Source organism: Homo sapiens, chromosome X (assembly GCF_000001405.40).
Source record: "Homo sapiens chromosome X, GRCh38.p14 Primary Assembly".
Lineage (NCBI taxonomy): Eukaryota > Metazoa > Chordata > Mammalia > Primates > Hominidae > Homo > Homo sapiens.
In genome coordinates this window covers 54,275,478-54,292,313 of record NC_000023.11, presented here as the reverse complement: position 1 = coordinate 54,292,313, position 16,836 = coordinate 54,275,478, and the positions used below count along the sequence as shown (strand labels likewise).

Here is a 16,836-nt window from a genome sequence, read left to right as displayed (position 1 = left end):
TTTAGGACTGATCTCTTCCTCTTATTCATGATTATTTGTTCTTTGTATTAAACTTTTCCAGCCTGATTTGAACATGGAAGGATGTCTGTTGCAGTTAATTAGAAATAGTGTTTCATAGATTTTCATGATTTTTAGCATGTTCATCTAAACTCTTGACTTGTTTTGGTTCATGTTTATTTCTGTAGGAGAAATAAGAAGTGTTTTTGTCTTTCAGACTCTTAAAGTCAGCATTATTCATTTCTGACAATGAGTTAATAGTCTTTGTGTGAGTTTATATATTAAGACTATATCCTGGTTCCCTAGGTTATGGATTCTGGATGCATGGTTGCATTTTTCTTTGCCATTACCCGGTTTTCTCCTCTCACCTCCCACCATACCTTGCGTTTGTCTTCCTTCTCTGGGAGTGAGATGATCTAATAGCTGCTAGCTAACAGAGAATGCCTGATTTAGCTAGTTGCTGGTGCATCTTTTAAGAGATTAGTATATTATCAGTTCATCATCAAACTTTTAATGATTACCACCTTCTGGGGATATGAAATAAAATAAACATGATCCTTGCCCTCAAAGAGCCCAGTCTTTTAGGGGAAAGCATGTATGTACTTGACAAATGCCAGATGCATTTAAAATCTGCTAGGGGTAGATTTAGTTTGATATAGTTGAAGATGCCAGATATTTGGCTAGTATTTATAAGTGATATGGTGCCTATTTGTAATTGAGCTCATGTGGTAGTTTGATTTGCCTCTTTCTAAGCCTATAATGCAAAGTGTGTTGAATGGGAGCTTAAATTTAACTTAGGTTCAATTTACATAAGCATACAGGTATGTGTATTTTAAAATGTGTTCCAAAAATTTAATTATCAAAATGTTACTTGCTTATTTTAAAATAAAGCCCATAAAGTTATGAAAAAGAAAGTGAAAAATTACTTGTTATTTCTCCAGCTAGAGACAACTTATTGTTTTTTCATTTTGTTTTGTTTTGTTTCGTTTTGTTTTGTTTTTTTTGAGATGGAGTCTCATTATGTCGCCCAGGCTGGAGTGCAGTGGCGCGATCTCGGCTCACTGCAACCTCCGCCTCCCGGGTTCAAACGATTCTTCTGCCACAGCCTCCCGAGTAGGTGGGACTACAGGCACGTGCCACCATGCCCGGCTAATTTTTTGTATTTTTAGTAGAGACGGGCTTTCACCGTGTTAGCCAGGATGGTCTCGATCTCCTGACCTCGTGATCCGCCCGCCTCGGCCTCCCAAAGTGCTGGGATTACAGGTGTGAGCCACCGTGCCCGGCCAACAACTTATTGTTTATGTTTGAGGTATAGCCTTTAGATTTATCTTTTTTTCTGTGTACACATGTATAACTTTGTTTATATATACACATGTATATCACATACATATGATTTTTTGTAGCCTGCCCTTTTCACCTAATATATAGAAGCCACATAAGCAAGAAATTTGATTATATGGGTCTTTTTATGAGCATGGTAGCCCAAATTCTAGGAATTATTGCAGCCAATCAGTATTTATTTCTGCCAACTCTCTCCTCTCTTCTTGAGAGAGTATCTATATTCATTTTAGGAATGATACTGAAATCCTTTGAGCTTTCTCATGGGACTTCCACTGTCAGGTGTGTGACAATGTCAGATTCGGATACTCAGAATCTCTGCCAGGGTTTGAATGAGTTATGTAGTAAATTGCGATAAATAAGAAACCATGAGTGGTATATTGCTGTGACTTGTCTCAACCCCTTAGTGTATTCAGTTAACTAGCATTTACTCATGGTATTAGGATTTTTATAGGACTAATGCTATACCTAGCACCTTTTTGATAATTTGCTGAAATTTTTGGAACATAGCATTATTTTCTCTATCAGTATGTCCGGGAAAGTCCCATTAAAATGGGCATAGTATATGCATTTATAATTTGAATTCTCCTTGTACCTGTAGCTGGCCTTTGGAGCAGATAGAAAAACTTTAGCCCAACCTATGACTTTAGACTTGTCAGTTACTGGAGTTCCACAATCAGTCCTTTCTTTCTTTTTTTTTTTTCAGACAGAGTCTCACTCTGTCACCCAGGCTGGAGTGAAGTGGTGTGATCTCAGCTCACTGCAACCTCCGCCTCCTGGGTTCAAGCGATTCTCCCACCTCAGCCTCCCAAGTAGCTGGGACTATAGGAGCACACCAGCATGCCTGGCCAATTTTTGTATTTTTAGTAGAGATGGGGTTTTGTCATGTTGGCCAGGCTGGTCTTGAACTCCTGGCCTCAAGTGATCTGCCCCGCCTTGGCCTCCCAAAGTGCTGGGATTACAGGCGTGAGCCACCATGCCTGGCCACAACCAATCCTTTCTGCAGTTTCTCTTCAGACGTTTTCTGCTTCACAGATGACTTCCCAGCATCCAACAGTTGGTCTTCAACTTGAGCGTGATCCTAGAAATGGGAATCAGGCATTAACCAAAGCACCAGATGCCAGTCAGACTTCTAGTTTCTTACCGGTTAATCACCCTCAAGCTTTGTTGAATCATTCTTCTGTCCAACATGTGAGCAGTGCACAGAATGCTGCTAGTACAGCTCAGCTCCCTTCTAATTCCATTGGGGGGCATTCAGGGGCCCATCAGCCTTCACAAAAGATACATTCAGTATCACAGCCATACCCATCAGAAGTCTCTAACTTCAGATTCTTCAATGCCACAAAGCCAGACTGTGCAAGGAGTATTGTTTCCAAGCTTGTATTCAGCAACAATCATTAATTTTACAACCTAAGATTTTGGCATCTCCACAGAAAAATGTTCAGCAGGATTATGTTCTCCAAGAGTCTGAAGCTCTTGCAAGTCAGCAACAGCCAAAGGGTGGTATTGAAAGTGTGATTCAGCCCCTGGAATAGCCTTCTTATTCTGTTCAACACACTTCCAGGGCCACCTGCGGAATTATCATCCTTCCCATTGAAGGCTCCTGAGCAGCTGCCCTTTGTGATATGTCCCCAGCAACAAACTTCTTACTCATCACAGCCAACTTACTCAATTCAGGCTCCACTACATAAACAGCCTGTTTATTCACTGCCAGTCCTGGAGCATCCTCTTTACACTGTACAACCACCGAGATCACAGCCAGCCTATTCTGTGCAGACTTCTTATCCAGTCCCAGCTGCAGTACAGCCCTCATATTTGGCAAAGACTCACGTGCAGTCTGCTTATCTAGTGCAACCTCTGCTTCAGTCACCTTTTCCAGACCAGGCAGCATATGCAATCCAGGCAGCTTACCTTATGCAACCTATGGAACAGCTTGCTTATCAGACACTGTCTCTTGAGCATGTATCTTATTTAGGACAAACTGCTTACACTATCCAGATAACTGAACATGCAACCTTCATAACCCAGCAGGTATATACAATAAGCCCTCCTGATAGCAAGTGAGTACACATGACAGACAAACTCTGCACATCAGAAGTTATACTCTGTACCACCATTTGTAGCACAGACTTTTGAGCAACAAGCCTATTTAACACAACCCCAAGGTAGTTCTTCTTCAACATTGGAACAAAGGATGTATTTAATACCAACCTTAGATACACAGACACATTCTACTGAGCCTTTATTTAATGTCCAGCTTTCAGCGACTCCATCCCAAGCAGATGTCAGTTTTGGACACCAGCAGCTAAAAACTCAGGCCCAGGCAACTAGCATTATATCTCAGAGGGCAGTGGAAGGACAGCTTCAAAACCCTGAGCAGATGTCCTTCATTCAGCAGGCCTCTTCACAGGCACAGATCCAGCCCCCACATTTCTCAGCACAGTTTTCCCAATCACATCTAGCACCAAGCCAGGTTTTTCACTTAGCTTTCATTCAGCAGCAGCAGATGACTCATTCATCTCATAGACAAGCACAGGAAACCCATCAGTTGTCTACTCAGGAAGGTCCCATAAATCAACAGCAATCTTTATTTAGTCAACATGCTGCTCTCCAGCAGCAGGTACCTCATTGACAGGCACCTAAGCAAGTTCAGCCATTACCAGGTATTCCAAACACCATTACAAACATGGTCCAGATTATACATCCATTGCAAGAACAGTTGCAACTGGCAGCCCTGGAACAACAATATATAATACAGCCTTTAGAGCAGCCTCAAGTACTTCAGGCACTAGATAACAGTCTGACTTTTCCCCTACAGAAAAACCTAGCACAATACCAGCCAGCATACATCCAGCAGCAGTCTGCTGACTGGCCGCAGTGGTAGCCATCTTACAGCTTAGCACCTGTTTCTGGGTCATCAGAGCCACAATTACAACAGCAGACCCTCTATCAAAGCTCTGGGATAGCCCTTCCAAATCAGCAATCTTCAGTTCATCTCCTGACACTTAGCATTCTGGTAGACGCTTCCACTGCTTTTCAGAGCATTTCTGTGTTACACACACAGCAGCATTTACAAGGCCAAGAAATTCCAACGGTAAATCCTCGTGGGGGAAAATAAGGATGATTGTGATTTTTCTGTGATGTTTAAGGGTCAGGATGATAGTGAACTATAATAGATACAGCACTTCAGTGGGAGTCATGGTCCCTGTTCCTGACTCTTTTCCTTACTTACTGAGTGACCTTGATTCAGGTCTTTTCTAAATTTTCTCATCTGTAAAGTGAAGGGATCAGACCAGATGACTACAATTAAAAAAAATTTGAGGACCTACTTAGGATATAACAGTGAATAAAATACAAAAACCCCTTCTGTCATTGAGGTTTGTTGTCTAATGGGGAAAGATTGTCAATAACCACTATAAAAAGGAAATTATACAGTACAAGGTGCTTTGGGGAAAATGTAGAGGAGGAAAAGGAGGAAAGTGGGTTGCAGGTTTAAGGAAGATGGCTATCAGAGTAGGTCTCATTGAGAAGGTAACATTTGAGCAGACACTTGAAGGAAATAAGGGAGTCAGTAATGTATATTTCAGACAGAGGGAATAACAGGTGCAAAGGCCCTAAGGGAGAAGTTTGTCTGGCATGTTTGGAAAACAGCCAGGAGGCAAATGTAGCTTTCCAAGATCCTTTAGTCCTAAAACGTTTGGAACCTATGGTTCTCTTATTGTTCTACATTTATAATAAAGCATTTGCCTTTGTGAGATAATACTATTGAGTGATTCTTATTGCCAAATACTATCCCAAAGGCATTACATGTACATCTTCACACCAACCCTAGGAATCCCATTATTACCTTTTTTTACTGATGAAGAAACTGAGGTTCATAGAGGTTAAGTAACTTTTCTAGTGTCATACCCAAAAGCTAGCATTTGAACCCAGCATATTCAATCATTTTACTACCCATCTGCTTTGAAAGATAGTTACCCTCCCCACCAGAATTGGAGAAAAAGGTTATGATGGCTTCAGTGAGATTTAGTTAATTTGGGGAATTGATTGCTTTTTTTTTTTTTTTGAGATGGGGTCTTGCTCTGTCACCCAGGCTGGAGTGCAGTGGCGCCATCTCGGGTCACTGCAATCTCTGCCTCCTGGGTTCAACTGATTCTCCTGCCTCAACCTCCTGAGTAGCTGGGATTACAGGCATCTACCACCACACCCAGCTAATTTTTGTATTTTTAGTAGAGAGAGGGATTCACCATGTTGCCCAGGCTGGTCTCGCACTCCTGACTTCAAGTGTTTCACCCACCTCAGCCTCCCAAAGTGCTGAGATCACAGACGTGAGCCACCATGCCCAGCCCTTGATTGAATTAATTAAAGCAAAGAACTGAGAATCTGACTTATTCTTTTTGCTCTTCTCCCCTGCTTTAGGTATATCTAAAACACACTGAATTTATTGTTTGGCTAATAAAATACTTTGAGGTCCTTAGATAAAAGGTGTGCTATGCTGTATGAGTTATTTTCTAGTGATAATATATTACTCTACCAAACAGCTATTACCTCAGGTATTCTGTATTTTATAAAATCTCCTCTTCATCAAGGGCATAAATTATAATGGATTTCAGTATGTGCGTGCTGACTCCTAACAGGACTGAGCGAGAATAAATAAAGATCTTTGCAGCTGAAGTTTCTTCAGACAGGGGCATACTATTCTGGGATTTATTTATTTCAGATTAAGGGGTTTAACAAACCATTTTTTCTTCTCCCCCCCCACCTTTTTTTTTTTGTTTGTTTGTTTTCCTGCACTACACAGATGTAATTAACAAAGTATTTTGGATTTTAATGTTCATTCTGTGGGCAGATTGCACGTGTTGTATACTTTCCTTACCTAATTAAAACGTTTTCCCCAACATCTTATTAAGAAAAACTTCAGATATACAGAATATTGGAAAAAATTGTAGCATGAACACCCATATACCTAACACCTAAATTATACAGTTAACTTTTGCTCTATCTGCTCTATCACATACCTATTTATCCCTTTATTAATCCATTTTATTTTTCTGGTGCATTTCAAAGTTTAAAGGAAGTTGCCAACATCAGTATACATCATCCATAAATACATATCATTGACTAGAACTCAGTATTTATGTTTTTTAGTTTAAATGTATATACAGTAAAATGCATAAATCATAATTCATGAGTTTCGACAAATGCTTACACCTATGTAACCCCAACCATTATCAAGACATAGAAGAGGTGTTGACAGTCTTTTTCTGTAAAGGCCTAGATAGTAAATATTGTAGGCTTTGCAGGCTATATAATCTCTGTTACAGTTACTCAGTTCTGCTGTTGTATGCATGAAAACAACCATAAATATGTAAACAAATAGGCGCGGCTGTGTTCCAATAAACATTTGCTCACAAAAACAGGTGGTGTGCCAGATTTGGCCTGAAGGCTGTGGCTTGCCCACCTGATAGAGAATATTGCCATTACTCCAGAAAGTTCCCTCATGCCCCTTCCCAGTGAGTTTTCTCCACACCCGTTAGAGTCAATCGCTGTTGATTATTTGTTGTTGTTTTTTGAGACAAGGTCTTCCTCTTTTGCCCAGGCTGGAGTGTAGTGGTGCAAACACAGCTCACTGCAGCCCTGACCTCCTGGCTCAAGCCATCCTTGCACCTCAGCCTCCTGAGTAGCTGGGACCACAGGTGCGCACCACTCCGCCTGGCTAAGTTTTTGATTTTTTTATAGAGACGGGGTCTTGCCATGTTGCCCAGGCTGGTCTTGAACTCCTAGGCTCATAGGGTCTTCCCACGTTGGCTTCCCAAAGTGCTGGAATTACAGATGTAAGTCACCATGCCTAGCCAATTTTTTCACCATAGATTAGCTTAGCCTGTTCTAGACCTTCATATAAATGGAACAATATAATATATATTCTTGTGTAAGGCTTCTCTGATTCAACATGTTTTTGAGATTGATCCATGTTGTGTATGTATCAGTAGCTTTTTTTTTTTCTTTTTTGAGACGGAGTTCGTTCTTGTTGCTCAGGCTGGAGTGCAATGGCTTGATCTCGGCTCACTGCAACCTCCACCTCCTGGGTTCAAGTGATTCTCCTGCCTCAGCCTCCCAAGTAGCTGGGAGTACAGGCATGAGCCACCACGCCCGGCTAATTTTGTATTTTTAGTAGAGACGGGGTTTCTCCGTGTTGGTCAGGCTGGTCTGGAACTCCTGACCTCAGGTGATCTGCCAGCCTCAGCCTCCCAAACTGCTGGGATTATAGGCACAAGCCACCATGCCCAGCCAGCTCATTCTTTTTTGTAACTGCAGAATAATGTTCCATTTTATGGATATACCAAATTTGTTTATCTATCCTATTCACAGACACCTAAGTGATTTCTGGTTTTGGGCTATTGTGAATAAAGCTGCAATGAACATCCCTATATAAGTTTTTTTTTTTGTAAACATGTTTTCATTTCTCTTGAATTATACCTAGAAATAGAATTGCTGGGTCATAGAATAAGTGTTTGACTTTTTAAGAAATTGCAAGTTTTCCGAATTGGCTGCACTAACACCAGCAATGTATGAGAGCTCCACACCCTCACCAGCATTTTTAATTTTAGTTATTCTAGTTGTTGTATAGTGGTATCTCATCGTGGTTTTAATCTGTATTTCCCCGATGACTATGATGTTGAGTACCTTTTCATGTATTTGTTGGCCTTTGTATATCTTTGTGAAGTGCCTGTTCAAGTCATTTACCCATTTTATTTGCTCATGTTTGTCTTTTTATTATGGATTTACAGAAATTCCTTATATATCCTGGATTATACAAGTCCCTTGTCAGATACATGTTTTATAAATATATTCTCCAGTCTTTATATTGCCCATTCGTTTTTGTAATGGTCTCATTTAATGAGACAAAGTATTTAATTTTGATGAAGTCTGATTCATCAAAGTTTTTCTATTGTAGTTACTACTTTCTGTGGCCCATGAAACCTTTGCCTACACCCAAGTTACAAGGAAACTTTCATATGGTTTATAGTTTTATGTTTAAGTCCATGGTTCATCTTGAATTAATTTTTATGAATGCTGTGAAGTAAGGGGTCAAGTTTCTTTTTTTTTTTTTTTCCTCTAGGAATATCCTAACAGCTTCATCTGTTGAAAAGACATCCCTTTCTCCACATCTCTACCAACACTTGTTATCTTTTTTTTTTTTTTTTTTTTTTTGAGACAGTCTTGTTCTGTCGCCCAGGCTGGAGTGCAGTGGCACGATCTCGGCTCACTGCAAGCTCCGCCTCCCAGGTTCACGCCATTCTCCTGCCTCAGCCTCCCAAGTAGCTGGGACTACAGGCGCCTGCCACCACGCCCGGCTAATTTTTTGTATTTTTAGTAGAGACGGGATTTCACCATCTTAGCCAGGATAGTCTCAATCTCCTGACCTCGTGATCCACCCGCCTCGGCCTCCCAAAGTGCTGGGATTACAGGCGTGAGCCACTGCACCCAGCCCATCTGTCATTTTTATTGTAGACATCCTAGTGGGTGTGATGTGGTATCTCATTGTGGTTTTGATTTGCATTTTTCTGAAGACTAATGATGTTGAGCATCTTTCTATATGCATATAGGTCGTTCATGTATCTTCTTTTATTATCTTTGGAGAAATATCTATTGAAATCCTTTGCCCAGTTTTTATTTTATTCTTTTATTTTATTTTTTGTAGAGATGAGGTCTCGCCATATAGCCCTGGCTGGTTTTGAACTCCTGGTCTCAAGCAATCCTCCCACCTTGGCCTCCCAAAGTGCCAGGATTACAGGCATGAGCCACTGCGCCTAACCCCTTTACCCAGTTTTTAATTGGGTATCTTTTTGTCTTTTTATTGTTGAGTTATGAGTTCTTTATATATTCTGGATACTTAGACCATTATCAGATGTATGCTTTAAAATATTTTCTCCCATTCTGTGTGTTGTCTTTTCACCTTCTTGATGGTGTCCTTTGTGGCATAATTTTTTTAAAAGTTTGATAAAGTCCAATTTCTCAATGTTTTCTTTCGTTACTTTGTGCTTTTGGTGTCATATCTAAGAAACTATTGTTTGATCCAAGGTCATGAAGATTTTCTCCTATATTTTCTTCTAAGAGTTTTAAATTTTAGCTCTTAAATTTGGGTCTTTGATCCATTTTGAGTTAATTGTTGTATATAGTTTGAGGTAGGGGTCTAATTTCATTCTATCCATGTGGACATCCAGTTTTTCCAGTGCCATTTATTCAAAAGACTATTCACCCATTGAATAGCCTTGGCACCCTTGTTGACAATCAATTCACCATAAAAGTATGAGTGTTCCAACTTAGTTTTCCTTTCTCAGGATTATTTTGGTTCCTCTGAGTCCCTTGCATTTCCACATGAATTTTGGGATCAGCTTGTCAAGTTGTGTCCAAAAAGCCAGCTGGGATTTTGATAGGCATTGTGTTAACTTTGTATATTGCTTGGGTAGTATTGTCTCTTAGTAATATGAAGTCTTCGAGTCCAGGAACATGGATGTCTTTTCATTAAACTAGGTGTTCTTTAAGTGTTGGCAAAGGTGTGGAGAAAAGGGAACCCTTGTACACTGTTGATGGGAATGTAAATTGGTGTAGCCATTATGGAAAACAGTATGAGGCTAGGTGCAGTGGCTCACACCTGTGATCCCAATACTTTGGGAGGCTGAGGCACGAGGATCACTTTAGCCCAGGAATTCAAGACCAACCTGGGCAACATAGTGAGACCTCCTCGTCTCTACAAAAAAATTAAAAAATTAGCTAGGTGTGGTGGCATGTACCCCATAGTCCCAGCTACTCAGGAGGCTGAGGCAGAAGGATCCCTTGAACCCAAGAGGTCAAGGCTGCAGTGAGCTGTGATTGCACCACTGAACTCCAGCCTGGGCAACAGAGCAAGACCCTGTCTCAAAAACAAACAAACAAAACAGTATGAAAGTTCCTCAAAAAATTAAAAAAAAAAAAAACTATGATACAATCCAGCCATTCCACTTCTGGGCATATATCCAAACGAAAAGAAATCAGTATCTTGACATATCTGCAACCTCATGTTCATTGCAGCTTTATTCACAATAGCCAAGATATGGAAACAACTTAAGTGTTGACAGATGAATGGATAACAAAAATGTGGTGTGTGTGCATATACATACATGTATATGTGTGTATACACACACATACAAAGAAGGAAATTCAGGAAATCAGCCACTAAAAAAGAAGGAAATCCTGCTATTTGTGACAACATGGATGAACCAGGAGGACATTATGCTAAGTGAAGCCAGATACAGAAAGATACTGTATGATCTTACTTATATGTGGAATCTATAAATATCAAACTCATAGAAGCAGAGAGTAGAACAGTGGTTGGCAAGGGCTGAGAAGTAGGAGAAATGGAGACACTTGGTTAAAGGGTATAAACTTTTACTTATAAGATGAATAAGTTCTAGGGATGCAATGTATTATTTAGTTGAAAAAAAATTTTTTTTTGAGTCAGCGTCTCACTCTGTTGCTTAGGCTGGAGTGCAGGGGTGCAATCTTGGCTCACACAACCTCTGCCTCCTGGGTTCAAGTGATTCTCATGCCTCAGCCTCCCAAGTAGCTGAGACTACAGGCGTATGCCACCATGCCCAGCTAATTTTTGTATTTTTAGTAGAGATGGGATTTCACCATGTTGTCCAGACTGGTCTCGAACTCCTGGCCTCAAGTGATCCGCCCACTTCAGCCTCCCAAAGTGCCGGGATTACAGGTGTGAGCCACTGTGCCCAGCCCTAAAAGAGATCTTAAGTATCCTCACCACACATACACGTACAAAGGGAGGGTAACTTTGTGTTGTGATTGATATGTTAATTAATTTTATTGTGGTAATCATTTCACAGTGTATATGTATAGCAAATCATCACATTGTACATCTTGAATATATACAATTTTTATTTGTCAATTATACCTCAGTAAAGCTGGGAAAAAATAGCTGGTTTTTAATTTCAGCAGTATTTTGTAGTTCTCAGAAAATCTTTTTTTTTTAATTTTTCAACTTTTATTTTAGAATCAGGGAGTATGTGTGCAGGATTGTCACAGAGGTATATTGCATGATGCTGAGGTCTGGGATATGACTGAACTCATCACTCAGATATGGAGCATAGTACCCAATGGTTAGTTTTTCAGCTTTTTTCCCCATCCCTTTCTCTCCCCTCTCATAGTCCCCAGTGTTTACTCTTTTCATCTTTATGTCCACATGTACCCAGTGTTTAGCTCCCACTTATATGTGAGAACATGTGATAATTTGGTTTTCTGTTTCTGTGTTAGTTCGCCTAGGAAAATGGCCTCCAGCTGCATCCTTGTTGCTGCAAAGGACATGATTTCATTCTTTTTTATGGCTGCATAGTATTCCACAAGTCCTTACAATTCCTTGTAAAGTTTTTTCCTAAGTTATTATTTTTGTTGTTATTATAAATGGAATTGTTTTCTTAATTTCCATTTGGATTGTTAATTGCTAAGGCATACAAATACAACTGATTTTTGTGAGTTTCCATTATATCCTGTAATTTTGCTAAATTTGTTTATCAGCTCCAATAGTTTTTTTGTAGATTCTGTAGGAATTTCTCTAATAAAATCATGTCATCTGGGACTAGAGATAGTTTTAATTTTGCTTTCCAATTTATATTTTTTTTTTTTTTGAGACAGAGTCTTACTCTGTCACCCAGGCTGGAGTGCAGTGGCACAATCTTGGCTCTCTGCAATCTCCGCTCCCCGGGTTCAAGCGATTCTCCTTTCTCAGCCTCCCGAGTAGCTGGGATTACAGTTGCCTGCCACCGTGCCCAGCTAATTTTTGTATTTTTAGGAGAGACAGGGTTTCACCATCTTGGCCAGGCTGGTCTTGAACTCCTGACCTCCTGATCCACCCGCCTCGGCCTCCCGAAGTGCTGGGATTTACAGGCGTGAGCCACTACGCCCGGCCTAGATGTTTATTTTTTAAAAAATTATTCTTGCTGGAACTTCTAGTATAATGTTGAGTAGGAGTTGAGAGCAAATATCCTGCTTTTCCTAATCTTAGTGAGAAAATTTTCAGTCTTTCACCATTAAGTATGATGTTATCTGTGTCTTTTTACTTTTAAAGAACTTTATTCAGGCTTAGTTTATGTACGATAAATGCATATATTTATAGTGTACAGTTAAATGAGTTGACAGATGTATGCCATAATCAAGATACAGAACATTTCCAGAACACCCAAAAGTTTCTTGTGTCCCTTTTCAGTATTTGTATGTGTGTGTTTACTCTAGGGATTTTAATTTACATTCTGAATTCTTCACAGTTTTTACATAGATTTAATATTATAAAATGTAAGGACCATGCAACTATTTATTTCCTGCAGGCTTTAAGCTATAATTATTTTTGTTTGTTTGTTTGTTGAGGTAGGATGTCCTTCTGTAGCCCAGGCAGGAGTACAGTGGTTCAGTCACAGCTCACTGTAGCCTCGACCTCCCAGGCCCAAACAATCCTCCCACCTCAGCCTCCCAGGTAGTTGAGACCATAGGCATGCACCACCACACCTGGCTAATTTTTTTAATCTGTGTAGAGACGGGTCTCCCTGTGTTGCCCAGGCTGGTTATAATTGTTATGTATATTACATCTACATACATTATAAACTGCACAATGCAATGTTATAGTTTTTGCCTTATATAAACATATGCCTTTTCCAAGAAATTACGAAGAGAAAAAGTTTTAAATTTTGGTGAGGTCCAGTTTTTTTTTTTTGGATTGTGCTTTTTGTGTGAAGTCTAAGAATTCTTTGCCTAGCCTTAGAACTGGAGATATTCTTCTACTTTTACATTTTTCATTTCAGTGTGATCTATGTTAATGTTTTTATTTATTTTATTTTATTTATTTATTTATTTATTTATTTTGAGATGGAGTTTCGCTCTTGTCGCCCAGGCTAGAATGCGATGGCGCGATCTTGGCTCACTGCAACCTCCGCCTCCCGGGTTCAAGTGATTCTCCTGCCTCAGCCTCCCAAGTAGCTAGAATTACAGGTGCCCGCCACCACCCCCAGCTAATTTTTGTATTTTTAGTAGAGACGTGGTTTCACCATGTTGGCCAAGCTGGTAAACTCCTGACCTCAGGTGATCCACCCGCCTTAGCCTCCCAAAGTGCTGGGATTACAGGCATGAACCACCACGCCCGGCCTATGTTAATGTTTTTTTAAGTTAGAGGCATTCACAAGGTAATATGTTAATCTTGTATATGGTTTTGAGATTTAGATTCAGGGTTTTTTTTTGGGGAGGGAGTTTCCCTGTAGATGTTTAATTGCCATAGCATCATTGAAAACACTGCTTGTCTTCCATTCAATTGCTTTTATATTTCTGTCAAAAATCAGTTTGGCTTATTTGCGTGGGTCTTTTCTTCTGGGTTCTCTATTCTGTTTAATTCATTTATGTTTTTAACTCTCTGTTAATTACATACTCTCTTGACTACTATAGCTATATAGAAAGCCTTAATATTGGGTAGTGTGATTGCTACCCAATATTCTTTATTCTTTTTTTAAGTTTTTTTTTTTAGCTCTTCTGGATTTCTGTTTTTCCATATACATTTTAGAATAATCTAGTCTATGTCCACAGAAAACCTTGCTGGGATTTTGATAGTAATTGTATTAGTCCTATATATGACTTTGGGGAAAATTGACATCTTGACTATGTTGGGCCTTCAAGTTCAGGAACATGATATGTCTCTTCATTTATTTAGATCTTCTTTGATTTCTTTCATCAGCATTTTGTAATTTTCAGCATACAAATCCTAAGGCTCTTTTGTTAAGTTTGTGCCTAAGTATCTGGTTTAATTTTGAAGGATTATAAATAATTGTGCTCTTTTTTTTTTTTTTTTCTGAGGCAGGGTCTCACTCTGTTGCCTAGGCTGGAGTTCAGTGGCGTGATCTCAGCTCACTGCAGCCTCTGCTTCCCAGGCTCGAGCAATCCTCCCACCACAGCCTCCCAAAGTAGCTGGGACTACAGGTGCATGCCACCATGCCCGGCTAATTTTTGTACTTTTAGTGGAGATGAGGTTTTGCCATGTTGCCCAGGCTGATGTTGAATTCCCGGGCTCAAGCGGTCCACCCACCTCAGCCTCCCAAAGTACTAGGATTACAAGTGTGAGCCACTGTGCCTGGCTAATATTGTAGTTTTTAATGTCAGTTTTCACATGTTCCTTGTTAGAGTATAGAAATGTGATCGTGTGTGTTGATGTTGAATTCAAATACCTTGTTGAACTTACTTATTTGTCCTAGGAGGATTTGTTTGTTTTTTTGGTAGAATCCTTGGAAATTTTTTTAAATATAGAAAATCATGGCCGGGCGCGTTGGCTCACGCCTGTAATCCCAGCACTTTGGGAGACTGAGGCAGGCAGATCATGAGGTCAAGAGATTGAGACCATCCTGGCCAACATGGTGAAACCCCGTCTCTACTAAAAATACAAAAATTAGCTGGGCGTGGTGGCACGTGCCTGTAGTCCCAGCTACTCGGGAGACTGAGGCAGGAGAATCCCTTGAACCCAGGAGGCGGAGGTTGCAGTGAGCCGAGATCGTACCACCTCACTCCAGCCTGGCAATAGAGCAAGACTCCGTCTCAAAAAAAAAAAAGAAAAAAAGAAAATCATATAATCTCCTAAAATAGAGACAGTGTGATCTCTCCCTTTCTAATCTGTATGCTTTTTATTTCTTATTTTCCTTTTATTGTGCTGGCTAGAATTTCCAGTACTGTACTGGAATAAGAGTGGTGAGAATGTACTGTCTTGAATAAGAGTGGTGAGAATGAACTTCCTTGCTTTGTTCCGAGTCTTAGGGGGGACAAGTCTTTCACCATTAGTATGATATGAGCTACAGATTTTTTATAGATGCTCTTTATCCAGTTGAGGTAGTTACCCTCTATTACCTGACTCACTGAGAAGTTTTATTATGAATTAATGTTGGCCAGGCGCGGTGGCTAACACCTGTAATCCCAGCACTTTGGGAGGCCGAGACAGGTGGATAACCTGAAATCAGGAGTTCAATAACAGCCTCGCCAACATGGCGAAACCCTGTCTCTACTAAAAAATACAAAAATTAGCCGGGCGTGGTAGTGGGTGCTTGTAATCCCAGCCACTCGGGAGGTTGAGGCAGGGAGAATTGCTTGAACCTGGGAGGTGGAGGTTGCAGTGAGCTGAGATCGTGCCACTGTACTTCAGCCTGGGTGACAGAGCGAGACTCCTTCTCAAAAAAAAAAAAAAAGGAATGTTGCCTTTTTCAGATGTTTCTTCTGTGTTAATGATATGATTATATGGTTTTGTTTTTTTTTACTTGTTGATATATAGTGGATGACATGGATTTCAAATATCGAAACAGCCTTCATGTCCTTGGAATAAACTCATTTGGTCATGGCATATGATTCTTTGCATACATTGTTTGATTCACTTTACTAATACTTTGTTGAAGATTTTTGAACCTTAAGTTCATGACAGATACTGATTTGTAGTTCAGTTTTATGTCTTTGTTAATTTTCTATTATTAATTGCTGAGAGTGAGGTGTTGAAGTTTCTAAGTATAATTGTAGATATATGTATTTCTCCTTTTAACGCAGTAATTTGTTTTTTTTTGTTTGTTTGTTTGTTTTTGAGACAGAGTCTCGCTCTGTCACCTAGGCTGGAGTTCAGTGGCACAATCTTGGCTCACTGCAACCTCCGCCTCCTGGGTTCAAGCAATTGTCTCAGCCTCCTGAGTAGCTGGGATTACAGGCGTGCACCACCATGCCCAGCTAATTTTTGTATTTTTAGTAGAGACGAGTTTCTGCCATGTTGGCCAGGCTGGTCTCGAACTCCTGACCTCAGGTGATCCACCCGCCTCAGCCTCCCAAAGTGCTGGGATTATAGATGTGAGCCACCGCGCCCAGCCTACACAGTCATTTTTTTTTACTTCTGTTTTGAAGCTCTTATTTGGTGCATCCACGTTTAGGATGGCTATGTCTTTTTAGTGGATTGATCTTTTTATCATTATATTATATCCCTCTTCATTTCTTGTAATTTTCTTTCCTGTGAAGTCAACTTTATCTGATATTATGTACTCCCTGCTGCTTTTTATTGCTTAATGTCAACATGATATATTTTTCCATCCTTTTACTTTCAGCCTATCCTATGTTTCAAGTGAGTTTCTTGTAGAAAGTGTATAGTTAATGTTTATCCATGTTTTTTATCCCTTCTGTCAATGTCTCTTAATTGGCATATTTAGACTGTTTTGCATTCAAAGTAATTTTTGATATGCTAGGATTTAAGTCTATCATGTTAGTATTTGCATTTTGTTTCTTCTCTATGTTTCTCCTTCTTATGCTTCTCTTTTCTTACCCACCTGTGGGTTATTTGAAATTTTTTAGGATTCCTTCTTGGTTTTCTTTTGCTTGGTCATGAACTTCTTGTTTTATTTATACTGTTTTGAGTATATTATACTGTACAGTTTTCTTAGTGGTTGCTCTAAGGTA

At 39.9% G+C, this 16,836-nt stretch overlaps 1 protein-coding gene across 22 annotated transcripts in view; it reads left to right on the top strand.

Annotated features, from left to right (window-relative positions):
• Positions 1-16,836, top strand: part of WNK3 (WNK lysine deficient protein kinase 3) — a 166,078-nt gene that overhangs the window by 66,587 nt on the left and 82,655 nt on the right. The gene's annotated exons all lie outside the window — the stretch shown is intronic.